At 37.4% G+C, this 27,066-nt stretch overlaps 1 long non-coding RNA gene and 1 pseudogene across 8 annotated transcripts in view; one reads left to right on the top strand and one right to left on the bottom strand.

Annotated features, from left to right (window-relative positions):
* Positions 4,719 to 5,294, bottom strand: LOC100419238 (centromere protein V pseudogene; annotated as a pseudogene).
* The window catches only part of LOC105373204 (uncharacterized), a 175,604-nt gene continuing 153,340 nt past the window's right edge, over positions 4,803 to 27,066 (top strand). For 6 of the 8 annotated variants that reach the window (XR_007068239.1, XR_007068236.1, XR_007068238.1 and 3 more), the window contains exons 1-2: positions 4,803 to 5,293; positions 6,307 to 6,402. This is a non-coding gene — a long non-coding RNA (uncharacterized LOC105373204). Of the gene's footprint in view, positions 5,294 to 6,306; positions 6,403 to 7,199; positions 8,626 to 27,066 lie in introns of those variants that run through there. The other 2 variants (XR_007068234.1, XR_007068237.1) reach the window with 2 other exon arrangements.

Below are 27,066 nucleotides of genomic sequence, written 5' to 3'. Positions count from 1 at the left end.
TGATCACCTTATTTACAACAAAGATACCAATGCAGTACTCAGGGAGAAAGATAATCATTTAAGTAAGTGGAACTGGACAAATTGGATATCCAGCCATATAGAAAAAAATAACTTTGGCTCCTAACTTATGCCATACACAAAATGAATTCAAAAAGATAAAGCTTCTAGAAAATAAGATACAATCATATCTTGATGACCTTGGGGTAAATTATATCTAAAACACAACACAAAAACCACTAACGATAAAGGAAAACATTAACTACAAATAAACACGCATGCACGCACACATTCAGAAAATGTTTTATGTACAGAATAAAATAAAGAATAAAAGTAAATGCAGTTAAACACTGGCACAATATTTCAACAGGTACTTCACAAAATAGGATATTAAACTGACAAATAACAAAGACTTCCCAAAATAAGTCATCAGAGATATGCAAATTAAAATCACAAGAAGACATCAGCAAACATCTACCAGAATAGCTAGAATGACTACCAATATAAAGAGCAGGGGAGGCTATAGAGGAACTGAAACTCTAACTGCCGGTAGGAGTGTAAATTAGTACCCTTGGAAAACTATTTGGGAGTACCTATTAAAGCTGAATTTATGCATTTTCTATAACCCAGAAATTCCATCTATGTTACTTTTCTATCCCTGAGTAACAAATCACCACAAATTTAATGGCTTTAAACAATGGCCATTTATTTAAGCTCCCAGTTCTATAGGTTTACAAGTACTCTGTTCAAGTCTCACAGGGTGAAGTCAGCCTGTTCTATTGGTCAGTGAGTCTGTGTTTCTTTCTGGAGACTGAGGAGGAATATATTTCCAAACTCATTCAGGTAATTGGCAGAATTCAGTTCAATTTTTAGCTCCTAGAGGCCTCATGCAGTTCTTTGCCACATAGAGCTCTACATATTCCTTCGCACACTTCCAGTCTCCCAGGAAGGGCTCAGGCCATCTTAAGGGCTCACTTACTTAGGTCTGGCCCACACAGGTCAACCTCCTTATTTCGAGGTTCACTGATCTGGGAGCATAATTCATCTGCAAAATCTCTTTCCCCATATTGTGTAACATTATCATAGGAGTGGTATCTCATCATATTCACAGGCTGCTCTTATACTCAAGAGAAGTTCATATAAGACCAGAGGTCATTAGAGGTCATCTTAGAATTCTGCCTGCCTCAGCCTGCCCTCTGGCCCTCAGTGATCCAGTATTTCCCACGTATAAAATACATTCAATCCATCCCACAGTCTCCAAATTTCTTTGTATTATGGCATCAGCTCAATTCCAAAAGCTCATCTGAATTTCATCATCTGAATCATGAACGGATGAGATTCCTGGGTATGATCCTATCCAGTAAAACTCCTAGGGCAAAATCCCTCTCCAACTGTGGACCATCAGCACTAAAGTGACAAGCTATCTTCCCCCAACACCACCACATACAATGATGGGACGGGCATAGGATAACATCTATAAACATTCTATTTTATACAGGAGAAAACAGAAGGCAGAAAAGAGGAGTTCCAAAGCAGTTTGGATATCCAGCTGACGTCTACTACCAGTCTGTCCAAGGGAATTTAGGCTTTCCCTGTCATGCATCTCAAAATTCTTCCAGCCTTTGCTTACTATCCAGTTCCAAAGCCACATCTACATTTTAAGGTGTTTACAGTGACTACACCTCACATCCAGGTATCAAAATCTATAGTGGTTTCTGTTGGTGTTAAACACATTGCTACAGTCTTAGCAGCTTACACCAACACTCATTTATTAGCTCACAGTTGTGTAGGTCAGAGGTCTGTGCACCATGTGACTGGTTTCCCTGCTCAAGGTCTCACAGGGTGAGATGCTCTTGGACTTCCTGTGTTCCTTTCTGGATCTCTGGGGAAGAAGCCCTTGCAGACTCATCTATGTTGCCAGCTGAGTCCAGTGCCCTGTAGCTGTAGTACTGAGGTCCCTCCATTCTTTTGCTGGCTGTCAACAAGGGGCAGCAACTCATCACCTAGAGGACTCCTGCAGTTCCTTGTCACGTGGCCCCCTCCAAATGCTCTCTCATGCTTCGAATCTCTCAGCAAAAACCTGGGCCCTTGTAAGTGCTCACCTGATTAGGTCTGCCTCACCTACTTTAAGGGCAACTGATTTGTGACCTTAATTATATCTGCAAGATCCTTTTTGCCATATGAAGTAATATAATCATAAAAGTAAGATCTCATCATATTTACAGGTTCCACCTACACCCAATGGGAAGAGATTATACCAAGACAAGAGTCATTGGAGATCACCTTAGAATTCTGCTTACCACACAAGTATATATCCAACAGAGATACATAAACCTGTTTTTCAAAAGACATAAGGATGTTCACAGTGGCATTATTGGAAATAGTCACAAACTAGAAACAACCTAAATATATATCAACAGTTGAATGAATAAATTGTGGTATATTAATACAATGGAATACTGTTCAGGAACGAAACAAGCAAATATCCCTACATGCAACAAAGTGTACAGATCTTAAAAGCATTCATATTGAGCAAAAGAAACCAGGCATAAAAATATACATAATTTATAATTCCATTTGTATAAAGTATAAAAAGCCGGCAAAACAATTCTATAGTAACATAGGTTAGAATAGTGCTTAAATTTCAGGGGTAATGACTAGGTAGGGGTATAACATAAGTTTCTGGGGTGCCAGTAATGTTCTATATTTTGGTCTTACTGGTTGTTACATGCATGTGTTCACTTTGTAAAAAGTCATCAACTTGTTGTCCCTTATGATTTGCACAATCTTCTATCTAAATGTTGTATTTCAATGATAAAAAAGATAACAGAAAGAAAAAAATTGTATGAAAGGCAAGAAGAGTTGACGGAAATATGATTCAGACTCACAATCCCTTGTGCACAAGTCTAACATTCAAAATGCTTTGAAAAACATACTTTTCCTGACTCATTTATCCATAAAACCTGATTTGAACTGACATGATGCTATTTGTAATCTTTAGATCTTGGAGTGAACATTTGTATGTTTCACTACAGAAATATCATTGTATTAGATTCCACAGTATTACTACAGGCCTTGACATAGATATTATGTATGTATGGGAGACAAATTCTGAACCATTTGGTCCCAAGAGTTTCACAGAAGCGATTGTGGATGTGTAGTAGTCGAGGATTTTAGTAGACAAGAACTTAGAACGACTGCAGAGTGCATCAGATTGATTGAATTTATTGAATTCTTTGTTCAGCACCTCAGATGATAGGATTTTTCTCCTTTGACCTATTGATATAATGGGTTAATTAAAATATTTCTTAATATTACACCATGCTCTCATGACTAGAAAACTACCAGGATATGATGGATTTTTATATACTGTGGAGGGTTAATTAAAATATTTCCTAATATTACATCATGCTCTCATGACTAGGAAACTACCAGGATATGATAGATTTTTATATACAGTTTAATTTTATGGACCCAAATTTTATTAATAAAAAATTAAATATAAGTTAATAAGTGAGAGAGATCCACATCTTTCTTTGTGTGTAGTGAACTATCTTTGCCAGGTTTTGGAATCAGAGTTTAGACTTCCTTCATTAAACAAATTTGGAAGATCTCTGTCTTTGCTTCTAGCTTCTAAACTTTTTTATTGGCTTAGGGATTTGTGATTCTTGAAAAGAACTGAAAGATCGTATTCAACTCTCCTTGTACTTTTATCAGTAATTTTGGTTCCCAATCCTAGTGGAAGAGTAACACCATTTTTTCTGATAAAGGCATGGCTATTCAAAAATGTGTAGAGGGAGAGAGGTATACATAACAGCAGATGGATTTGTGAGACTGTGCCAGTCAACCACTTACTTAGTGCATGACTTTCAGCAAGTTACCTAATCTTTTAAGCTTTAGTGTCTTCATCAGGGAAATGGGAATATAGTCCCTTCCCTTGCATTGTTTCCTCTAAATTTTGTGAAGTACAATTTAAAAATTATTACTTAAGCCAATTAATGTTCAAACAGTAGCATTTGGATCAAGAGTAAAATGTGCACGTTAATTTATAAACAGTCACAACTAACATTAACAAGTAAGTGGTAATAACTGTTTTAGGAATTGTATGTATTTTTGAGCATTTATTTAATCTTGAAATTAAACTTGGTATTTCTACGTATTTTTCTATGTAGAATTTATATAGATTATTTCTACATAAAATGCATCACTTATTCTTTAATTTTCTCAAAATAATATACATACATGATCTTAAAAGTTCTTAAAGAATAACACTAGCCTTTAATGAAACCAGAAATCATTTGAATCTAAATCCATACTCGCCCCCACTCCTGCTCTGGCTCCCTGAGAAAACTTCTTTCAACTATTTTTTCTGCTTCTCAGGCATTTACCATGATATTTCTAAATCATAGGCTTATAGTGATTGTAGTATATTGCAAAAATGGTCACAAGCGAGACTTCTGGTTTCAGCTCTTTCATGTAAAGAAGCTGGAAATTGTCACCCCACCCCCTTCTTCCAACAAGAAAAAGATGAACAAACTGAATCAATGGCTTTAAAAAAATACTTATCAGAGAAATGAGGCTGCAGGGTAAGCCACTACTCTGAAAGACAGATCCAGGGCGTCACTTAAATGGCAAATTTGCTGAATTGCTTCCGGCTGAATGCGGACTAGCATGAGAGTAAGGGGGCCTCTACATGTTCATGGTCTTTACCTTTAGGAAAATGTTGCCTTGTCCAGGAAGTGAGGGGTGACGCCGTACACCCGGTGTCAGACAGCTGTGTGGCAACTCTTCACCCCACACCTGCTGCAGAAACTACGCAGCGCCGGTGTGTGTTGGGTCGGTGATAATGCTTTGATGCTCTCTGCGCCCTGGAGGAGCGTGAAGCCGGAGGTTGCTAAGTGGAAGTGCAGGTGCTGCTGCTTCTTGCACAAACTGCAGTTGTAATCCAGGATTCACGGGCCTGTAGGGGCTCAGACTTCAAATTGAACCGCGCCTCGGCGGCAGCCACAGGTGTAATACACGAGGCCCAGGTACCAGAAGGTGTCCAGCAGGGCCTTGGCGGCGCCCTAGCAGCTGAGGTCCAGCCGCTGCGCGCCCAGGTTCATCTCATTAGTGGACGCCGCGGGCCCGCGAGTTCGGAGCAGCGCGTGTATCTGTGGGTCTTTGGGGCTGGCCTCGCTAGCCTACCAGCTTCCTTTCGGTGATGCTCTTTGCTACCGCCAGGCTCCTGACCCCAGCTTGGACAGCAGGCCGCCGAGCGCCCCTGACGCCCGTTACCGAGATGGCTGCGCAGAAGGTACAGCAGGGGTGGGGGAGGGGAGCAAGCAGAGGAGGGATCCCTGGGTTGCTCTTGGCTGCGTGGTTGGGTGGCGGTTCTCCTTCTTACTCGGCCCATGGCATCCTCAGCCATGAACATAAATCCGGCCAAGTCGTGGCCCCGCAGCGTGGGCTGCGCGGTTGGGTGTTTGGGGGGAGGGGAGTTTCCGGTTCTAAGAACTTACTGGGCTGCTTCTTAGTCTGCACTACCAAGATTGGCCACTTGTTGAAAATGGGTCCGGGAGACCCTTCCCTTTATCTCAAAATGACAGCTTTACTGGTGTAACATGTTGGTAAACTGTATTTGCAGCCCCTTCTCCCAAGAGGTATTTTTACATTGTCCACACATAGGTATGGAGATTGCCTATGCTGCCGTCCTTGTGTGCGTTGGCATTACATACCAGGGTTTCCGTGCTCATGCTGTTACATACCTGCCCTGTAACCATGGAAATGACTCCGAAGTTCTCTGGTTCCCAGTAATCTCATATTTTAAAAAAGGGAATAATATATCCCAGATGCAATGGGGAGTTTATTTATTTGAAATATTTAATACAGCAGAGAGGAACTGGATATATTATATATATGTATATATATACATATTATTTCTAAACTTTTTTTTCAATAAGTTTTCAGTTTTCGTTGGATGTATTTTTAGTTTTTGTGCCAAGATTCAGGAAGTGTTCTGGTTGCTGGGTGGGTAAAAGCCAACATAACTCGATCCTTTTCCTCAAGCATCTCACAGTCTTGTGTGGTAGCCAGACACACAGAAAAATTACATGAAAGGGCTTCAAGTGAAGAATTGTAAGTCGTTTAGGAGTATGATGAGAATGCATAGAGAGACACAAAGAGAAAAGCTGCAGACTGAGATGGACTGGGGATGAATGGTTAAAGAAGAAACAGGAAACTTGAGAGAGCTGTCTCCTTGTAAGTGTGAGGCTCATCTGTTTTTGACAATTCCACTAATCTTTGGGTTCACATTCTTGGTTCTTTCAGGGTAACCCAGAATGACATCTATGCCTTTCATCTGTAAAATAACAACAACAGTGGGCTCTGGGAACACAGACTAAGACTCCTTAACCACAGCCATAGGTAGGTGGGCAGGATCAGCATAGGCTCCTCTCAGAGGACGTGATTGTGAAGCAGATACTATTATTATCTCAATTTACAGAAGAGTCGTCTGAGAGCCAGAGAGTTTATGTAACTTACCCAAGGTCTCATAGCAAGGCAGAGGTGGAAACCGTTTTCAACTCCAGGTCTGTCTGGCCCCAGTGTCTCATGCAGTTTTCATTACCTTGAGCTCACCCTTAGTGACAATGTCATTCATTTTTATTCTCAACCGCATCTTCCAGGCATTGCTTGCCTCGGGATTGTTTTAAAAAAATTGCTGAATACAGTGAAGAAACGTATTGGAAGACATCTTCCAAGGAAAAACCCTAAATACTGATGCTTTATTGGAAACAATGACTTAAGTGATAGGACCAGGATTAGAATGCAGGTGTGTCGTATCTGACTCCGAAGCCTATGTCATTTTCACTGCATGTGTTAGTACATAATATTAAATCCTCTTTTGTTTTTTCTTCTCTGTAGTGATGCTGAAAATTGACTAGGATTGGGCAAGATTTTTTTTTTTGAGGCGGAGTCTCACTTTGTTGCCCAGGCTGGAGTGCAGTGGCACGATCTTGGCTCATTGCAACCTCCACCTTCCGGATTCAAGCAATCGATCCTTGTACCTCAGCCTCCCAACTTGCTGGGATTACAGGAATCCACCAGCATGCCGGGCTAATTTTTGTATTTTTAGTAGAGACGGGGTTTCGCCATGTTGGCCAGGCTGGTCTCAAACTCCTGACCTCAGGTAATCTGCCGGCCTTGGCCTCCCAAAGGAGGGATTACAGGTGTGAGCCACCATGCCTGGCCTAAGATTTTTGTTTTAAGTAGAGTTTTAGAATGATATTTTAGTTCTCAGAATTTATTTTTCCTACCTCAGCTACACTCTAGTTTCTTTGTAAAAATATATAAATGTTCTTTATTTGACATATATAAATTAATGGTAACAACTATCATTTACTCATCCACTGTATATGCTTATAGTACCTTTGAAATAAGTAGTATTATGATCCCCATTTTATGTGATAATAATTGCTAACTTTAATAACGATTTAACATTTGCATAGTGCTATTCTATCAGGTTTCATCACAATTTAATCCTTCCAGAAGCTCTAAGAGAAATGAATTATTACAAAGCTTATTTTTCAAATGAGAGAACTGAGGCATAGAGAGGGTCAGAAAATTTCTTATGGTCACACTAGAAGTTAGTAATGAAGCTGATATGAACCCAGGCAACCTGACCCTGAAGTCTTGTGTTTCTCTCTCCCATTTACTGACTCATACGTGCACTATGAGTCAATTCACTACATGGAGGAGGACATAGGAGCTTGGCCAGGCCCCTCTGCTATGAAATTGGCAGCAGAGATTCAAATCCAGGTATGTGTGATTCTAAATCACACATAATCTACTCCCCTTGTTCCTTTCCCTCAAAATGATTGCCCCTTCTATTCTATTTCATTGACACTGTACAGTGAGAAGGTGTTTGTTAAACACCTACAGTACAGTGAGGCTTAGAGAGGAAAATCAGAGAAATAGTTCTGCCCTGAAAGCTCTCACAATCTGGTGGGAGAGACAAACACATAGGTAATTTTATTAGAGTGTTGTAAATGTTATGGTAAAGGAAGACTTTTTGGAAGAGATGGCACTTCAGTTATGTGTAAATGGATAAGCAGATGGTTTAAGAGATACGGGGGTAATTCAGACAAAAAAGAATTGTGTGAGCAATGGCTCAGAGGTTAGAAATAGAATGGTGTATGGGTGAAGTGGAGCTGCAAACACACGTGTTAAATGTGAATGGAAATGGTGTAGGGAGATGATTTTAATGAGATTAGCAAGAGTAAGATTATGAGGAACCTTGAATGCCATGCTAAGGACTCAAAGACATATATCATGTCACCTCTGTTGTAACCTTCCTTCCCAATTCCTATTCTTGGCATCTCAGAACTTCCAGAGGCTTGATAGAACAGAATATAAGAGAATTATATTTTTGGTTCCTAGGGGGTAGGGTGAGGAAGGCATCCAGAAGGAGTGAGCCAGCAGACAGGAGAGGGTACAGGTAGGGACTACATAATGGAAGGGTTTATATCAGTGTGTCAGAGAAAGAAGATTCAAGAAAGAGATTGGTGATTTACTGAAATCCTCATTGCTGGCTTCATCCTTATTCTGAAGATCCTACGATGCCTGGAGAAATTCTAGGCCTCACATCTGGTGAGTATGAAAGGAGTATGTGTGTGTACATATGTAAGATAGAATGAACCTGAAGCTAAGTCTGATTTCTAGATCTAGATTGGTGTAGAGTGAAGAATAATTGGCTATAGTGGCATAGGAACCAGACGATGGGGTGGGGGAGAGCTAACTTACATTTAACATATCTATATCTATAGTTTTCTCATTAAGAGCATGAGACTAAAGATAAGTCCAGTGTTCAGAAGGGAATTGTCAGTATTTGTTTCCATCCCTGACCAACCAACCATCTTTTGACTTATGCATTCTTTTAGTAGATATAGTAAGTCTTGGTTGTGCTCTGATCTGGAAGCCAGTCTTAATTTTTTCAAGTAAAGATACATAAATTTATGCAAATCATAAGTGTACAAGCTGATGGTTTTTCTTTTTTTCTTTTTTTAATTTTTGTGGGTACATATTAGGTATATATATTTATGGGGTACATGAGGTATTTTGATACAGGAATACAATGCATTGTATTCAAATCAGGGAAAATAGGGTATCCCTCACCTTAGGCATTTACCCTTTATTTGTGTTCCAATCCTATTATACTCTTTTAGTTATTTAAAAATGTATAATAGTTGACTATAGTCATCCTGTACTATCAAATCTAGATATTATTCATTCTGTCTATGATTTTGTCCCTATTTACCATCAGCACTCACTCATTCCCACCCACTACCCATCTCAGCCTCTGGTAACCATCATTCTACTCTCTATTTCACAATTGTTTAAGTTTTTAGCTCCCATAAATAAGCAAGAACATGCAAAGTTTGTCTTTCTGTGCCTGGCTTATTTTACTTCACATAATGACCTCCAGTTCTATCCATGGTGCAAATGACAGGATCTCATTCTTTTTTATGGCTGAATAGTACTCCATTGTGTATATGTACCACATTTTCTTTATCCATTCATCTGTTCATGGACACTTAGGTTGCTTCCAGATCTTGGTTACTGTGAATAGTGTAGCAATAAATATGGGAGTACAGATATCTCCTTGATATACTAATTTCCTTTCTTTGGGGTATATATCTAGCAGTGGGATTGCTGGATCATATGATAGTTCTATTTTTAGTTTATTGAGGAACTTCCACACTGTTCATTATAGTGGTTGTACTAATTTACATTCCCACTAACAGTGTATGGTGGTTCTTTTTTCTCCAGATCCTCGCCAGCATTTGTTATTGGCTATCTTTTGGGGAAAAAAAGCCATTTTAACTGAGATGAGATGATATCTCATTGTAGTTTTGATTTGCATATATCTGATAATCAGTGATGTTGGGCAACTTTTCCTATGCCTGTTTGCCATTTGTATGTGTTCTTTTGAGAAATGTCTATTCAGATCTTTTGCCCATTTTTCATTGGATTATTAGACTTTTTGCCATTGAAGGGTTTGAGCTCCTTATATATTCTGGTTATTAAGCTCTTGGCAGATGGATGGTTTGCAAATATTTTCTCCCATTCTGTGGGTTGTCTCTTCACTTTGTTGATTGTTTCCTTTGCTTTGCAGAAGCTTTTGAACTTGATGTGATCCCATGTGTCCATTTTTGCTTTGGTTGCCTGTGCTCGTGGGGTATTATTCCAGAAATCTTTGCCAGTCCAATGTCCTGGGCAGTTTCCCCAATGTTTTCTTTCAGTAGTTTCATAGTCCAAGGTCTCAGTTTTAAGTCTGTGATTCACGTTGATTTGATTATTGTATATGGTGAAAGATAGGGGTCTAGTTTTATTCTTCTCCATATGGATAGTCAGTTTTCCTGGCATCACTTATTGAAGAGACTGTCCTTTCTTCAATGTATACTATGACACCTTTGTTGAAAATGAGTTCACTGTAGATGGATGGAGTTATATCTGGGTTCTCCCTTTTGTTCCATTTGTCTGTCTGTTTTTATGTCAGTACCATGCTCTTTTGGCTACTATATCTCTGTAGTATAATTTGAAGTCAGGTAATATAATTCTTCGAGTTTTGTTCTTTTTTTCTCAGGATAGCTTTGGCTAATTGGGGTCTTTAGTGATTCCACATAAATTTTAGGATTTTTTTTCTGTTTCTGTGAAGAATGTCATTGGTATTTTGATAGGGATTGCATTGACTCTATAGATTGCTTTGGGTACTGTGAACATTTTAACCTCATTGATTTTTTAATGGACATTGTCCATTTTATGGACATGGAAGATATTTCCATTTTTTTGTGTTCTATTTCTTTCATCAATGTTTTATTGTTTTTATTGTAGAGCTCTTTCACTTCTTTGGTCAAGTTAATTCCTATGTATTTAATTTTATTTGCAGTTATTGTAAATGCGATTACTTTTAAAATTTCTTTTTCTGATTGTTTGCTGTTGGCATATATGAGTGCTACAGATTTTTGTATATTGATACTGTTTCTTACAAGTTTACTGAATTTGTCAGTTTTAACAGGTCTTGGAAGTCTTTAGGTGGAGTCTTTAGGTGTGTCCAAATATAAGATCATATCATCTGTAAACAAGGATAATTTGATTTCTTCCTTTCCAATTTGGATGCCCTTTATTTCTTTCTCTTGTCTGATTGCATTAGATAGGACTTCTGGCACAGTGTTGAAAGTGGGCATCCTTTATCATGTTCCAGTTCTTAGAAGAAAGGCTTTTGCTTTTTCTTTATTCAGTGTGATACTAGCTGTGGGTCTGTTGTATATGGCTTTTATTGTGTTGGGGTATGTTCCTTCTATCCTCAATTTTTTGAGGGTTTATATCATGAAGGAATGTAGAATTATACCAAATGCGTTTTCAGCATCAAATGAAATGATCATATAGATTTTGTCCTTCATTCTGTTGATATGATGTATCCCATTGATTTGATTTGTGTGTGTTGAGTCATCCTTGCATCCCTGGGATAAATATCATTTAGTCATGATAAATGATATTTTTAATGTGTTGTTGAATTTGGTTTGCTAGCATTTTGTTGAGGATTTTTATATAAATATTCATCAGAGATACTGGCTTATAGTTTTCTTTCTTTTGATGAGTCATTGTCTGGTTTTGGTATCAGGGTAATACTGACTTCATAGAATGAGTTTGGAAATATTCCCTGCTCCTCTATTTTCAGGATAGGTTGAGTAGAATTGGTATTCTATTCTTCTTTAAATGCTTTATCTCATTACTTGTTATTGGTCTGTTCCGATTTTAGATTTCTTCATGGTTCAATCTTGAAAGGTTGTATGTGTCTAGGAATTTATCCATTTCTGCTACATTTACTAATTTTTTGGCATATAATTTATCATAGTAGCCTATAATGATCCTCTGAATTTCTGAGGTATTGGTTATAATGTCTCCTTTTTCATCTCTAATTTTATTTATTTGGGTCCTCTCTCTTTTATTCTTAGTCTGGCTGAAAGTTTTTTGATTTTGCTTGTCTTTTCAAGAAGGCAACTTTTTGTTGATCTTTCATATGTTTTTTATTTCAATTTCATTTATTTCTGCTCTGATTTTTATTTCTTCTAATTTTGGGTTTTGCTTGCTCTTTTTTAGTTCTTTAAGATGCATCATTACGTTGGTGATTTGAAATTTTTCTAGTTTTTTGATGTAGGCACTTATAGCTACAAACTTTCTTCTTAGTACTTCTTTCACTGTATATCACAGGTTTTGCTGTGAGATATGATCTCATCCCAGTTGAAATGGCTATTGTCTTTTATTTTTAACTTTTATTTTAGGTTCATTGGTACCTGTGCAGGTTTGTTATATAGGTGAACTCATGTCATGGGGGTTTTGTGTACAGATTATTTCATCACCCAGGTACTAAGCACAGTACCTAATAATTATTTTTTCTGATCCTCTTTCCTCCCACCTTCCTCCCTCAAGTAGGGCCCAGTGTCTGTTGTTCCCTTTTATGTCAATTTGTTCTCATTATTTAGCTCTCACTTATAAGCAAGAACATATGGTATTTGGTTTTCTGTTCTTGCGTTAGTTTGCTAAGGATAATGGCCTCCAGATCCATCAATTGTTCCTGCAAAGGGCATGATATCATTCTTTTTGATGGCTGCATAGTATTCCATGGTATATGTGTACCACGCTTTCTTTATCCAGTCTACTGTTGATGGGTATTTAGGTTGATTTGATGTCTTTGCTATTGTGAATAGTGCTGCAGTGAACATACACATACATGTGTCTTCATGGTAGAAAAATTTATATTCCTTTGGGTATATACTCAGTAATTGGATTGTTGAATCAAATGATAGTTCTGTTTTAGTTCTTTGAGGAATTGCCACACTGTCTTTCACAGTGGTTTCACTAATTTGGACTCCCACCAGCAGTGTAGAAGTGTCCCTTTTTCTCTGCAACTTACCAGCATCTGTTATTTTTTGACTTTTCAATAATGGCCATTCTGACTGGTGTGAGATGATATCTCATGTGGTTTTGATTTGCATTTCTCTAACAATCAGTGATACTGAGTGTTTTTATTTATGCTTGTTGGCTGCATGAAAGTCTTCTTTTGAGAACTGTCTGTTCATGTCCTTTGCCCACTTTTTAATGAGGTTTTTTTCTTATAAATTTACGTTCCTTATAGATTCTGGATATTAGACCTTTGTCAGATGCATAGTTTGCAAACATCTTGTCCTATTCTGTAGGTTATTTGTTCACTCTGTTGATAGTTTCTTTTGCTGTACATAAGGTCATCAGCTTAATTAGAACTCATTTGTCAATTTTTCTTTTGTTGCAATTGCTTTTGGTGTCTTAGTCATGAAATCTTTGCCAGTTCCTATCCAGGATGGTATTCCTAGCTATTTTCCAGGGTTTTTATAGTTTGGGGTTTTACATTTAAGTGTTTAGTCCATCTTGAATTGATTTTTATATATGGTGTAAGGAAGGGGTCCAGTTTCAATCTTCTGCATATAGCTAGCCAGTTATCCCAGCACCATGTGTTGAATAGGAAGTCCTTTCCCCATTGCTTGTTTTTGTCAGTTTTACTGAAGATTAGATGGTTGTAGGTGTGCAGCATTATTTCTGGAATCTCTGTTCTGTTCCATTGGTCTATGTGTCTGTCTGTTTTTGTACCAGTACCATGCCGTTTTGATTACTGTAGCCCTGTAGTATAGTTTGAAGTTGGATAATGTGATGCCTCCAGCTTTGTTCTTTTTGGTTAGGATTGCCTTGGCTATTCAGGCTCTGTTTTGGGTTCCATATGAATTTTAAAATAGTTTATTCTAGTTCTGTTAAGAATGTTGTTGATAGTTTGATAGGAATAGCATTGAATCTATAAATTTCTTTGGACAGTATGGCCTAAAGTTGCTATTATGAAAAAGATGAAAGATAATGAATGCTGGCAAGGATGCAGATAAAAGGAAATACCCATTGATATGGTTTGGCTCTGTGTCCCCACCCAAATCTCACCTCGAATTGTAATCCCCATAATCCCCATGTGTTAAGGGCGTGACCAGGTGGAGGTAATCGGATCATGGGGCTGTTTCTGCCATGCTGTTCTCATGATAGTGAGTGAGGCTCACAAGATCTGATGGTTTCTGTAAGCGTCTAGCATTTTCCCTGCTTGCACTCACTCCATCCTGCTGCCCTGTGAAGAAGGTGCCTGCTGCTCCTTTGCCTTCTGCCATGATTGTAAGTTTCCTGAGCCTCCCCAGCAATTCAGAACTGTGAGTCAATTAAACCTCTTTCCTTTATAAATTACCCAGTCTCTGGCAGTTCCTTATAGCATCATGGGAATGGACTAATACAGTAAATTGGTACCAAGGTAGTGGGGCACTGCTATAAGGATACCCAAAAATGTGGAAGTGACTTTGGAACTGGGTAACAGGCAGAGGTTGAAACAGTTTGGAGGGCTCAAAAGAAGACAGGAAAATGTGGGAAAGTTTAGAACTTCCTAGAGACTTGTAGGGTTCAGAAGACAGGAAGATGTAGGAAAGGACAACAAAGTCCAAGCTGAGGTGGTCTCAGATGGAGATGAGGAACTTGTTGGGAACTGGAGCAAAGATGACTCTTCCTATGCTTTAGCAAAGAGGGCGGTGGCATTTTGCACCTGCCCTAGAGATCTGTGGAACTTTGAGATGGATGATTTAGGGTATCTGGCAGAACAAATTTCTAAGTTGCAAAGCATTCAAGAGGAAGCAGAGCATAAAAGTTTGGAAAATTTGTAGCCTAACTATGCAATAGAAAAGAAAAACCCATTTTCTGGGGAGAAATTCAAGCTCACTGCAGAAATTTGCATAAGTAACCAGGAGCCAAAGGTTAATCACCAAGACAATGGGGAAAATGTCTCCAGGGCATATCAGAGAACTTCAGGGCAGCCCCTCCCATCACAGGCCCAGAGGCCTAGGAGGGAAAATGGTTTCCTGGGCCGGTCCCACTGCCCCCCTGCCCTATGCAGCTTCATGACATGGTGTCCTGTGTCCCAGCTGCTTCAGCTCCAACCATGGCTAAAAGCAGCCAAGGTAAAGCTCAGGTCATTGCTTCAGAGGGTGCAAGCCCCAAGCCTTGGCAGGTTCCACATGGTGTTGAGCCCATGGGTGCACAAAAGTCAAGAATTAAGGTTTGGGAACCTCTGCCTAGACTTCAGAGGATATATGGAAACACCTGGATGTCTAGGCAGAAGTTTGCTGGAGGAGTGAATCCCTCATGGCGAACCTCTGGTAGGGCAGTGCAGAAGGCAAATGTGGGGTCAGAACCCCCCCCACAGAGTCCCCACTGGGGCACTGCCTAGTGGATCTGTGAGAAGAGGGTCACTGTCCTCCAGACCCCTGAATGGTAGATCCACCAACAGCTTGTACTGTGCAGTTAGAAAAGTGGCAGACACTCAACATCAGCCCACAAAAGCAGCTGGGAGTGGGGCTGTACCCTGCAGAGCCACGGGCAGAACTGCCCAAGACCACAGGAGCCACCTTACATCAGCTTGACCTGCATGTGAGACATGGAGTCAAAGGAGATCATTTTGGAACTTTAAGGTTTAATGACTGCCCTGTTAGATTTTGGACTTGCATGGGGCCTGTTGCCCCTTTGTTTTGACCTATGTCTCCCATTTGGAACAGGTGTATTTACTCAATGCCTGTACCTCCATTGTATCTAGGAAGTAACTAACATGCTTTTGATTTTACAGATTCATAGGCAGAAGAGATTTGCCTTGTCTTAGATGAGACTTTGGACTGTGGACTTCTGTGTTAATGCTGAAATAAGATTTTTGGGGAGTGTTGGGAAGGCATGATTGGTTTTGAAATATGAAAAGACATGATATTTGGGAGGTGTCAGAGGGGGCGGTGGAATGATATGGTTTGGCTCTATGTCCCCACCCAAATCTCACCTTGAATTGTAATTATCATAATCCCCACATGTCAAGGGTGTGATCACACAGAGATAATCGGATCATGGAGGCAGTTTCCCCATGCTGTTGTTATGATAGTGAGTGAGTCTCATGAGATCTGATCGTTTTATAAGTGTCTGGCATTTCCTCTGCTTGCACTCACTCTGTTCTGCCCCCCCGTGAAGAAAGTGCCCACTTCTCCTTTGCCTTCTGCCATGATTGTAAGTTTCCTGAAACCTCCCCAGCAATGCAGAACTGTGAGTCAGTTAAACCTCTTTTCTTTATAAATTACCCAGTCTTGGGCAGTTCTTTATAGCAGCATGAGAACGGACTAAAACACTCAAATACTGTTAGTGGGAATGTAAATTTGTACAACCACTGGGATGAACAATTTGGTAGTTCCTCAAAAAGATGAAAATAGAACTATCATTTTATCCAGCAATCTCTCCGCTGGGTATATATCCCAAAGTAGAGAAATCAGTATATCAAAGAGATATCTGGATTCCCACATTTAATGCAGCACTATTCACAATAGTCAAGATTTGGAAGCAACCTAAGTGCCCCTCAACAAATGAATGAATAAAAAATATGGAATCTCCATATAATGTAATATTACTTAGCTAGGAAACAGAAAGAAATTCTGTCATTTGTAGCAACATAAGTGAAACTTGAGGTCATTATGTTAAGTGAAATAAGCCATGTGCAGAAAAGCAAATATTACATGTTCTCACTTATATATGGGACCTTAAAAAGTAGATGTCATAGACATAGAGAGTAGAATAGTGTATACTACAGGCTGGGAAGGGTAGAAGAGAGGGGGATGAAGAGAAGTGGGTTAATAGATACAAACATATTGTTATATAGAAGGAATACATTCTATTATTTGATAGTATAGCAGAGAGATTATAGTTAATGATGATTTGTTATACATTTCAAAATAGCTAGAAGAGAACTGTAATGTCCCTAACACAAGGAAAAGATAAATGTTAGAGATGATGGATATCCCAGTTACCCTGATTTAATTATGCATCATATACATATATCAAAATATCACATGTACCCCTAAAATATGTAATATGTACAACTATTGTATATCAATTCCATTTATTTTAATTTTTAAAACTTGTGTACACTTTTTTAAATTAAAAAATAATTTCAACTTTTATTTTAGATTCAGAGGGTACATGTACTGGTTTCTTACATGGATGTATTGTGTGATGCTGAGGTTTGGGGTATGACTGATCCCATCACCCAGATATTGAGCATAGTATGTAATAGTCTTTCATCCCTTCGCCTCCTTCCCCCCGACTACTTCTCCCTGAGTGCTTGCCAGTGTCTATTGTTGCCATCTTTATGTCCGTGTGTATTCAGTGTTTAGCTTCCACTTATAAGTGAGAAAATGTGGTATTTGGTTTTCTGTTCCTGTGTTAATTCACTTAGGATAATGGCCACCAGCTGCATCCATGCTGCTGCAAAATACATGATAGTGTTCTTTTGTATGGCTCCCTAGTATTCCAGGTGTATGTGTACCACATTTTCTTTATCCAGTCCACTGCTGATGGGCACCTAAGCTGATTCCATGTCTTTGCTAGTGTGAATAGCGCTGCAATGAACATACCAGTGCATGTGTCTTTCTGGTAGAATGATTTATTTTGGATATATACTCAGCAATGTGATTGATGGGTTGAATGGTAGTTCTAAGTTCTTTGAGAAATCTCTAAACTGCCTTACACAGTGGCTGAACTAATTTACATTCCCACTAACAGTGTGTAAGCATTCCCTTTTCTCCACAGCATTGCTAGCATCTGTTGTTTTTGACTTTTTAGTAATAGCCATTCTGGCTGATTGTGGTTTTGATTTGCATTTCCCTGATGATTAGTGATATGGAGCAATGGAGTTATTTATGTTTTGTTTATTAAATTGTTTAAGTTCCTTATAGATTCTGGAGATTAGACCCTTGTTGGATGCACAGTTTGCAAATATTTTCATACCTTCTGTAGGCTGTCTCTTTACTCTGTTGATAGTTTCTTTTGCTGTGCAGAAACTCTTTAGTTTAATTAGGTCCCACTTGTCAATTTTTGTTTTTGTTCCCATGGCTTTTGAGGATTTAGTCATAAATTCTTTCCCAAGGCTAATATCCAGAATGATGTTTCCTAGGTTTTCTTCTATGATTATAATAGTTTTGAGGTCTTACATTTAAATCTTTAATGCATCTTGAGTTAATTTTTGTATATGGTGAAAGGTAGGAGTCCACTTTCATTTTTCTGCATATAGCTATACAGTATCCAAGCACCATTTATTGAATCAGGAGTCTTTTCCTCATTGCTTATTTTTGCCAACTTTGCTGAAAATCAAATGGCTATTGGTGTGTGGCTTTATTTCTGGGTTCTTTATTCTGTTTCATTGGTTTATGTGCTGTTCTTGTACCAGTGCCATGCTCTTTTGGTTACTCTAGCCCTATAACAGTTTGAAGTCAGATAATGTGATGCCCACAGCTTTGCTCTTTTTTCTTAGCTTTGGCTATTTGGGCTCTTTTTTTTGGTTCCGTATGAATTTTAGAATGGTGTTTTCTAATTCTGTGAAAAAAAATGGCTTTCATAACTTGACAGGAATAGCGTTGAATCTGTAGATTGCTTTGAGCAGTATTATGGTTATTTTAATGATAATGATTCTTCCACTCCATGAGCATCAGTGTTTTTCTATTTGTTTGTGTCACCTATGATTTCTTTCAGCAGCATTTTGTAGTTATCCTTGTAGAGATCTTTTGCTTTCTTGGTGAGCTGTATTCCTTGGTATTTTATTTTTTGTGGCTATTGTAAATTCAATTGTATTCTTGATTTGGCTCACAGCTTGAATGGTCTTGATGTATAGAAATGCTACTGATTTTTGTGCACTGATTTTGTATCTGGAAACATTACTGAAGTCACTTATCAGTTCTAGGAGCCTTTTGGTGGAGTCTTTAGGGTTTTCTAGGTATAGAATCATGTTATCAGTGAAGAGAGATAGTTTGAATTCTTCTTTTCTTATTTGGATGGCTTTTATTTCTTTCTCTTGCTTGTTTGCTGTGGCTAGGACTTCCAGTACTATACTGAATAGGAGTGGTAAGAGTGGGCATCCTTGTCTTGTTCAAGTTACTAAGGGGAATGCTTCCAGCTTTAGCCCATTCAGTATGATATTTGGTGTGGGTATGGCATAGATGGCTCTTATTATTTTGCAGTATGTTGCTTTGATGTCTAATATGTTGTTTTGGGTTTTTATCATGAAGGGATGTTGGATTTTATCAAAAGCTTTTTCTCCATCTGTTGAGATGATCATATGATTTTTGTTTTTAATTCTGTTTATGTGGTGAATCACATTTATTGATTTGCATATGTTGATCCAACCTTGCATCCCAGGAATGAAGCCTAGTTGATCATGGTGAATTGGATTTTTGATATGCTGCTGAATTTGGTTTGCTAGTATTTTGTTAAGGATTTTTGCATTTGTGTTTATCAGGGATATTTTGGTTTGTAGTTTTCTTTTTTCATTGTTTTTTTTTTTTTTGCCAGGTTTTGGTATCATGGTATGCTGGCTTTGTAGAATGAGTTAAGGAGGAAGTGAGGAGCTTGAGAGAGATATCTCTTTAAAAATCATGAAAAAGAACAGAGTATAGTGGCTGACACATGGCAGACATGCAATAAGAAACTGCTGTTTAAAAATTTTTAATAGTGGTGAGATACACATGACATCTACCATCTTAAACATTTTAAAGTGTACAGTTCAATAGTTTTACGTATATTTCCATTGTTATGCAATCAGTTTCCAGGAATTTTTCATCTTGCAAAACGTAAACTCTATACCCATTAAACAACACCTCATTTCTCATTTCTCCCTCAGCCCCGACAAACACCTTTCTACTTTTTGTTTCTATGAGTTTGACTATTCTGGTTGCCTCATATAAGTGGAATCATACAGTATTTCACTTTTTGTGATTGGCTTGTTTCATTTAGCATAATATCTTCAAATTTCATCCATGTTATAACATGTCAGAATTTCTGTCCTTTTAATGGCTGATAATATTTCCTTGAATGTATATACCACATTTTGTTTATCCATTAATTCACTGAAAGAAACTTGGGTTGCTTCTACCTCCTGACTATTGTGAATAATGCTGCTATAAACATGGGTGTGCAAATCTCTAAGACCATGCTTGAAATTCTTTTTTTCAAAACTTATATATATTTAAGGCATACAACATGTTTTGATATAAATATATTGTTAAGTTATTACTGTGTTCAAGTTGTTTAACATATCTATCCTAGTCTCTCAAAGTTACCTTTTGTGTATTGGGGTAAGAACACCTAAAATCTACTCTCTTAGCAAATTGCCAGTATGCACTACAGTATTATTAACTATAATCATTATGCTGTATGTTAGATCTCTAGACTTATTCATCCTAAGTAACTGCAACTTTGTGCCCTTTAAACTACATCTCCCAGTTCCTCCCTCCACCCCTACCCCTGCCTCTGGTAACCACTTTTCTACTCTGTTTCTATGTATTCAGTCTTTAAACAAGTTTTTTTTAAGATGAAAGAGAGATTATTCTGCTTTACATCCTTTGGGATACATACCCAGAAGTAAAATTGCAGGATCATATGGTAATTCCGTTCTTAAAATGAACTGCCATGTTGTTTTCCACAGCAGCTTCACCATTTTACATTCCCACCAAAAGTGTACAAGATTTCAGATTTTTAAAAATAATCTTGTCAACACATATTGTTTTCTGTTTGTTTTTTGTTTTGTATTAGCCATTCTAATGTATGTAAGGTGCTGTCTCATCATGGTTTTGATTTACATTTTTCTGATACAAAAAGATGTTGAGCATATTTCATGTGTTTATTGCCCATTTGTATATCATCTTTAGGGAAATGTCTATTGAAGTCCTTTGCCTATTTTTCACTTGGATTGCTTTTTGTTGTTGAGTTGTAGAAGTTCTTTTTAAACCCCTTATCAGATATATGATTTGCAAATATATTCGCCCATTCTATGGATTGTCTTTTAATTTATTATATTTTTTCATGCACAGAAGTTTTAAATTTTAATGTAGTCCGATTTCTCTGTTTTTTTTTTAATTTTTTAATTTTTTTTTTTTTTTTGAGACGGAGTCTCCCAGGTTCACGCCATTCTCCTGCCTCAGCCTCTGGAGTAGCTGGGACTACAGGTACCAGCCACCACGCCCAGCTAATTTTTTGTATTTTTAGTAGAGACGGGGTTTCACTGTGTTAGCCAGGATGGTCTCGATCTCCTGACCTCGTGATCCACCTGCCTCGGCCTCCCAAAGTGCTGGGATTACAGGCGTGAGCCACCGTGCCTGGCCAGTTTATCTGTTTTTTACTTTTGTTGCCTGTGCTTTTGATGTCATATGTAAGAAGTCATTGACAAATTCAATGTCATAAAATTTTCCCCTATGTCTTCTTCTGTGAGTTTTAGTTGTTTTTCTTGTTTAGTTTTTTGATATATTTTCAACTAATTTTTGTATGTGAGTTAAGGCAAGGGTTCAACTTCATTCTTTTGCATGTGGATATGAAGTTGTCCAGACGCTATTTGTTGAAGAGAGAAAGTTATTAAGTATTTCATTATTTTTGAAATAATAAACAAATATTTATTTTTGAAACAAATAAAATTGTTTTCTCAATTTCCTTTTCAGATTATTCATTGTTAGTATGTAGAAATGCAACTGGATTTTGTGTGTTGATTGTGTGTGGATTTTGTATCCTGCAACTTTGCTGAATTCGTTTATTATAACAGCTTTTTTTGGTGTGGACTCTATAGGGTTTTCTACATATGAAATCATGCTATCTGTGAATAGAAGTAATTTTACTTCTCTTTTTCCAATTTGTATGCCCTTTATTTCTTTTTTGCTTAATTCTTATGGCCAGGACCTCAAGAATTATATTGAATAGAAATGGTGAAACTAAGAAACCTTGTTTTGTTTCTGATATTAGAAGAAAAGATTTCAATCTTCCACCATTTAGTATGATGTTAGCTGTGGGCTTTGCATATATGGTCTTTATTATGTTAGGAAATTTCCTTCTATTTCTAGTTTGTTGAGAGTTTTTTCCATGAAAAGTTACTGAATTTTGTCAAATGCTTTTTCTACATCAACTGAGATGATCATGTGGGGTTTTTTTCCTTCAGTCTGTTAATGTGATATATTACTTTGATTTTTGCATGTTGAACTATTTTTGCATTCCAAGAAAAATATCCCTCTGGGTCATGGTGTATAATCTTTTTAATGTACTGATGAAATCTCTTTTCTAGTATTTTGTTGAGAATTTTTGCATTAATGTTCATCCGAGATATTGTGCAGTAGTTCTTTCTGATGGTAGTGCCTTTGTCTGGCTTTAGTATCAGGATAATGCTGGTCTCAGAATGACTGTAGAAGTGTTCCTCCTTTAATTTTTATGGAAGAGTTTCAGAAGGAATGGTACTAATTCTTCTTTTAGCTGTTTGGTAGAATTCAGCAGTGAAGCATTCCGGTCCAGGGGTTTTGGTTATTTATTACTGATGTAATCCCCTTACTAGTTATAAGTCTGTTCAAATTTTCTACTTCTTCTGGATTCAGTTCTGGCAATTTGTCTGTTTCTAGGAATTTATCCATTTCATTTAGGTCATCATAGTGGTGTGCAATTATACTATGTCTTAATAATGCTTTTTAATTCTGCAAAATCATTTGTAATGTCCTTTCATTTCTGCTTTTAGTTATTTGAGTTATTAGTTATTTAGTTATTTGTCTCTTTTCTTCTTAATCTAGCTAAATATACGTCAGTCACATAGATCTTTTCAAAGAACCAACTATTGGCGTCATTGTTTTTCCCTACTTTTTATATTCTCTATGTTAATGATTTCTGCTCTAATATTTATTTTTATTTATTTCTGCTAGCTTTGGTTAAGCTTGTTATTTTTCTAGTTCTTTAAGGTGTAAGGTTAGGTTATAGATGAGATATCTTTTTTCTTTTTTAATGTTAGCATTTACAGGTATATTTTCCCTCTTAGCACTACTAAGATAAAACTGAATTTCCATACCCAACCCACCCCATTCTAGCTCTTTGATTATTTTAATTGATTTCAAGTTTGTAGCCTTAATTCTGGGAATATAAATTTGAGAGACCACAAGTGCTATTTGGAGATTTGGTTGAGAGAGCAGCTTTCCCCCCTCCACGGGTATGGGAATCAGTGTCTATAATTTGAAAATGCAGATTCTAGGTTTTTGGTAGTAATAGGGGTTAGAAGATGGAGGGATTTAGCTTCTCCAATAAAAATTCAAATAGACCCACAAAAACCTCATCTAAACTTTAAAAAATACCCTTTAAAACCAGAAGCTTTGGAAGGAATAAGACTCATAGTTCTAGACTATATAAAAAGGGGTCTGATTATTCTCTGTACATACCCATGTAATACTCCAATTCTTCCTGTAAGAAATGCAAATGATAGAGCATGGAGGTTTGTACAGGGTGTGAGAGCAATTAACAATATAATCATTCCTCACCATCTGGTAGTTCTAAAGCCCCATACATTTTTGACTGCTATCCTTACCTAATGTGAATCATTACTGTGATTAAGTTATATAGTGCATTATTTAGTATTCCTATGGATAAAGACATTCAATTTCTCTTTGCCTTCACTTGGGAAGACAAACAACACATTTGGAAACTCATGCCTTAGGGATACACTGAATGCCCAACTTACTTTTAAAAAATATTAGAAGCAGATCTCTCAGATATTGACTTCCTTAAGAAATCCATTTTAATACAATACATAGATGATTTGCTTCTCAGTTCAGAGGATAAAGAAGCCTCTATAGAAGATGGGATTCACTTATTACAACAATTAGCCTTAAAGGAATGCAAGGTGTCAAAGGAAAAACTTCAGTTTTGTCAAAAACAGGTAAGATATTTGGGTCATCTAATATCAAGGGAAGGTCTTTTTATCTACCAGGATAGAATAAAAGAAATATTGGCCTTCCTATCCCCCAAACTAAGAAACAACCAAGAGGATTTGGGGGACTGGCAGTATACTGTAGAAATTGGATTCCAAGCTTAAAAAAAAACAACTCAACATCTATATACTCTTTTAAAGAAACACAAGCCAGATCCCCTGGAATGGACTGAGGAAAATTCGTTAACTTTGGAAGAGATTACAAAGAGCCTTATAAATACCCCAGCATCTATATTCCATTTCATTGTTTGTCCATAAAAATAAGGGAAATGCTTTAGGTGTTATGTCACAAAAACACTGAGACCAAAATAGACTTACAGGATACTGTAGTCAGCAAGTGGATGCCATGGCTAAAAGATTGCCACACTGCCTGAAGAGAGTAACTGCCACTGCTCTTTTAGTAAAAAAACAAAAAAAACCCTGAAAAAATGGCGATGGGATTCCCCTCACTGTCTTCATTCCATATTCTGTGGAAGCACTTCTAAATTCAAACCACACTCAACATTATTCTGTCAGCAGACTAGCTTTTTATGTAGTTCTTCTTTTTGTACCTCACCTTACAAGCTCTAGGTGCAATAATATAAACCCTGCCACCCTTCTGCCTCTACCTTCAGATGAGATGCTGCATGATTGCGTAATCTTAACTGACAAGCTTATCTCTTCTAGAACACTCCTGCAGGAGACTACCCTTACTAACACTGATGTTGTTTGGTTTATAGATGGACCTTAGTTAAAAGATGAATCTGGGACTTACTGTGCAGGCTATACAGGAGTATATTTAACTGAAGAAATGGAAAGTGCTTCCCTTCCAGAAGCCACCTCAGCTCAACAAGTAGAATTGATAGCATTAATCAGGGCCTGTCAATTGGTGAAAAAAAATGCTAATATTCATACAAACAGCAGATATTCTTTTAGAGTAGCTAATAATTTTGGAATGCTATGGAAGCAAAGAGGATTTTTAACTTCTAGTCAGCCCATAAAAAATTGATATCTTATTTCACAATGATTAGAAGCCATATTATTACCCAAATCACTGGCCATTATTAAAATTCTAGGTCATTCCAAATCAGATACTCCAGAAAGCAAAGGAAATCAGCTAGCTGATAAGGTAACACTAAGAGATGCTCTAAATGCATCTAAACAAGAAAAGCAATTTATATTAACTTTAAAATAAGCACCCCAAAAAAGAGAATAACTTTTTTTAAAAGCACCTGAATTTGACATAAAATGAACTAAATCTAGAGCTCCAAAATCCAAACAGGAAAGTTGGAAAACAAAAGGAGGAACATACTCTCCCAAAGATTAGATACGGTAGGGGTCAAAAAACTTGCCTATACTTCCTGCTGAATTGTGGTCATCATTTTTACCTATGTACGTGATTTCACTCATTGGAGCCCTGATAAAGTGGTTGCTTGTGGAAAATAATATTTTTGGAAACTTTCTCTGACTATAGGTCATGAGGCATACAATCGCTGCCATATCTGCCCAAAATAGAATCCAGGAAAACTTTTACACAGTTCCCAAGGACATTTTCCTTTATTTGTAGGCCCCTTTGAAGTATGGCAATGAAATTTTATTTAGCTGCCACTATCACAAGGATACAATTCTGTTCTACTGATGATTTGCATGTTTTCTTGTTGAATAGAAGCATTTTCCATTCAGAAAAGAAATGGACTTAGTAGCAAGTAAAATTCTCTTAGAAAAAATTATTCCAACGTGGGGAGTTCCTATGGAATTTCAGAGCAACAGAGGCACTCACTTCACTGGACAGATAATTCAATCAATATGTAAAATTTGACCCATCCTCAAGCACTTTTATTGTGCATATCATTTCCAACCATCTGGACTGGTGGAATGTACAAATGGAATAATTAAGACTCAATTGGCAAAAATAACAGAAGTTCTTAAGATTCCATGGCTGAATGCACTTTCCTTGGTTTTGCTTAACCTAAGATCAGCCCCTTTTGGAAAACAACAGTTATCCCTATTTGAAATAACAACTGGAAGACCTATGAGTCTACCCCAGGACATTGTAACTCCATAATTGCAAGGGGAGACATATTTATTGTTCTAACCTTATTAATTAACTAAAAAATTATAATCTAGTGAAAGATTATTTTTATAGTGGGCTCCTAGGAAATAAAGAATTCAAGACCCACAATTTTTAACCAGGAGATTTTGTCTACTGGAAATGGCATCTTTTTAAAAAAATTTTGTGGGTACATAGTAGATATACATACTTATGGGGTACCTGAGATGTTTTGATCCAGACATGCAATATACAATAAGCACATCATGGAGAATGGGGTATCCATCCCCTCAAGCATTTATCCTTTGAGTAACAAACTATCCAAGTATACTCTTTAAGATTTTAAAATGTACAATTAATATTGACTATAGTCACCCTATTGTGCTATCAAATAGTAGGTCTTCTACTTTCTTTCTATTTTTTGTACCCATAAACCATCCCCACCCCCATACCCTCACTACCCTTCCCGGCCTCCAGTAACCATCCTTCTACTGTCTATCTCCATGAGTTCAATTGTTTTGATTTTTAGATCCCACAAATAAGTGAGAACATGTGATGTTGGTCTTTCTGGGTCTGGCTTATTTAATTTATCACAATGATCTCCAGTTCTATCCAGGTTATTGCAAATCACTGGATCTCATTCTTTTTTATGGCTGAATATTACTCCATTGAGTATATGTACCACATCTTTATCCATTCATCTGTTGACGAACACTTGGGTTGCTTCCAAATCTTAGCAATTGTAAAGTGCTGCAACAAATATAGGAGTGCAGGTATCTCTTCCATATACTGATTTCCTTTCTTTTGGGTATATACCAGCAGTGGGATTGCTGGATCATATGGTACCTCAATTTTTGTTTTTGAGGTACCTCCAAACCATTGTCCATAGTGGTTGTACTAATTTACATTCCCACCAACAGTGTACAAAGGTTCCCTTTTCTCCACATCCTTGCCAGCTTTTGTTATTGCCTGTCTTTTGTATATAAGTCATTGTAACTGTGGTGAGATGATATCTGATTGTCGTTTTGATTCGCAGTTCTCTGATGATCAGTGATGTTGGGCACCTTTTCATATGCCTGTTTGCCATTTGTATGTCTTTTGAGAAGTGTCTATTCAAATCTTTTCCCCATTTTATGATAGGATTATT

This window comes from Homo sapiens, chromosome X (assembly GCF_000001405.40).
Source record: "Homo sapiens chromosome X, GRCh38.p14 Primary Assembly".
Classification (NCBI taxonomy): domain Eukaryota; kingdom Metazoa; phylum Chordata; class Mammalia; order Primates; family Hominidae; genus Homo; species Homo sapiens.
Note: the sequence above shows the minus strand (reverse complement) of the source record. Positions and strands in the feature narration are given on the sequence as shown.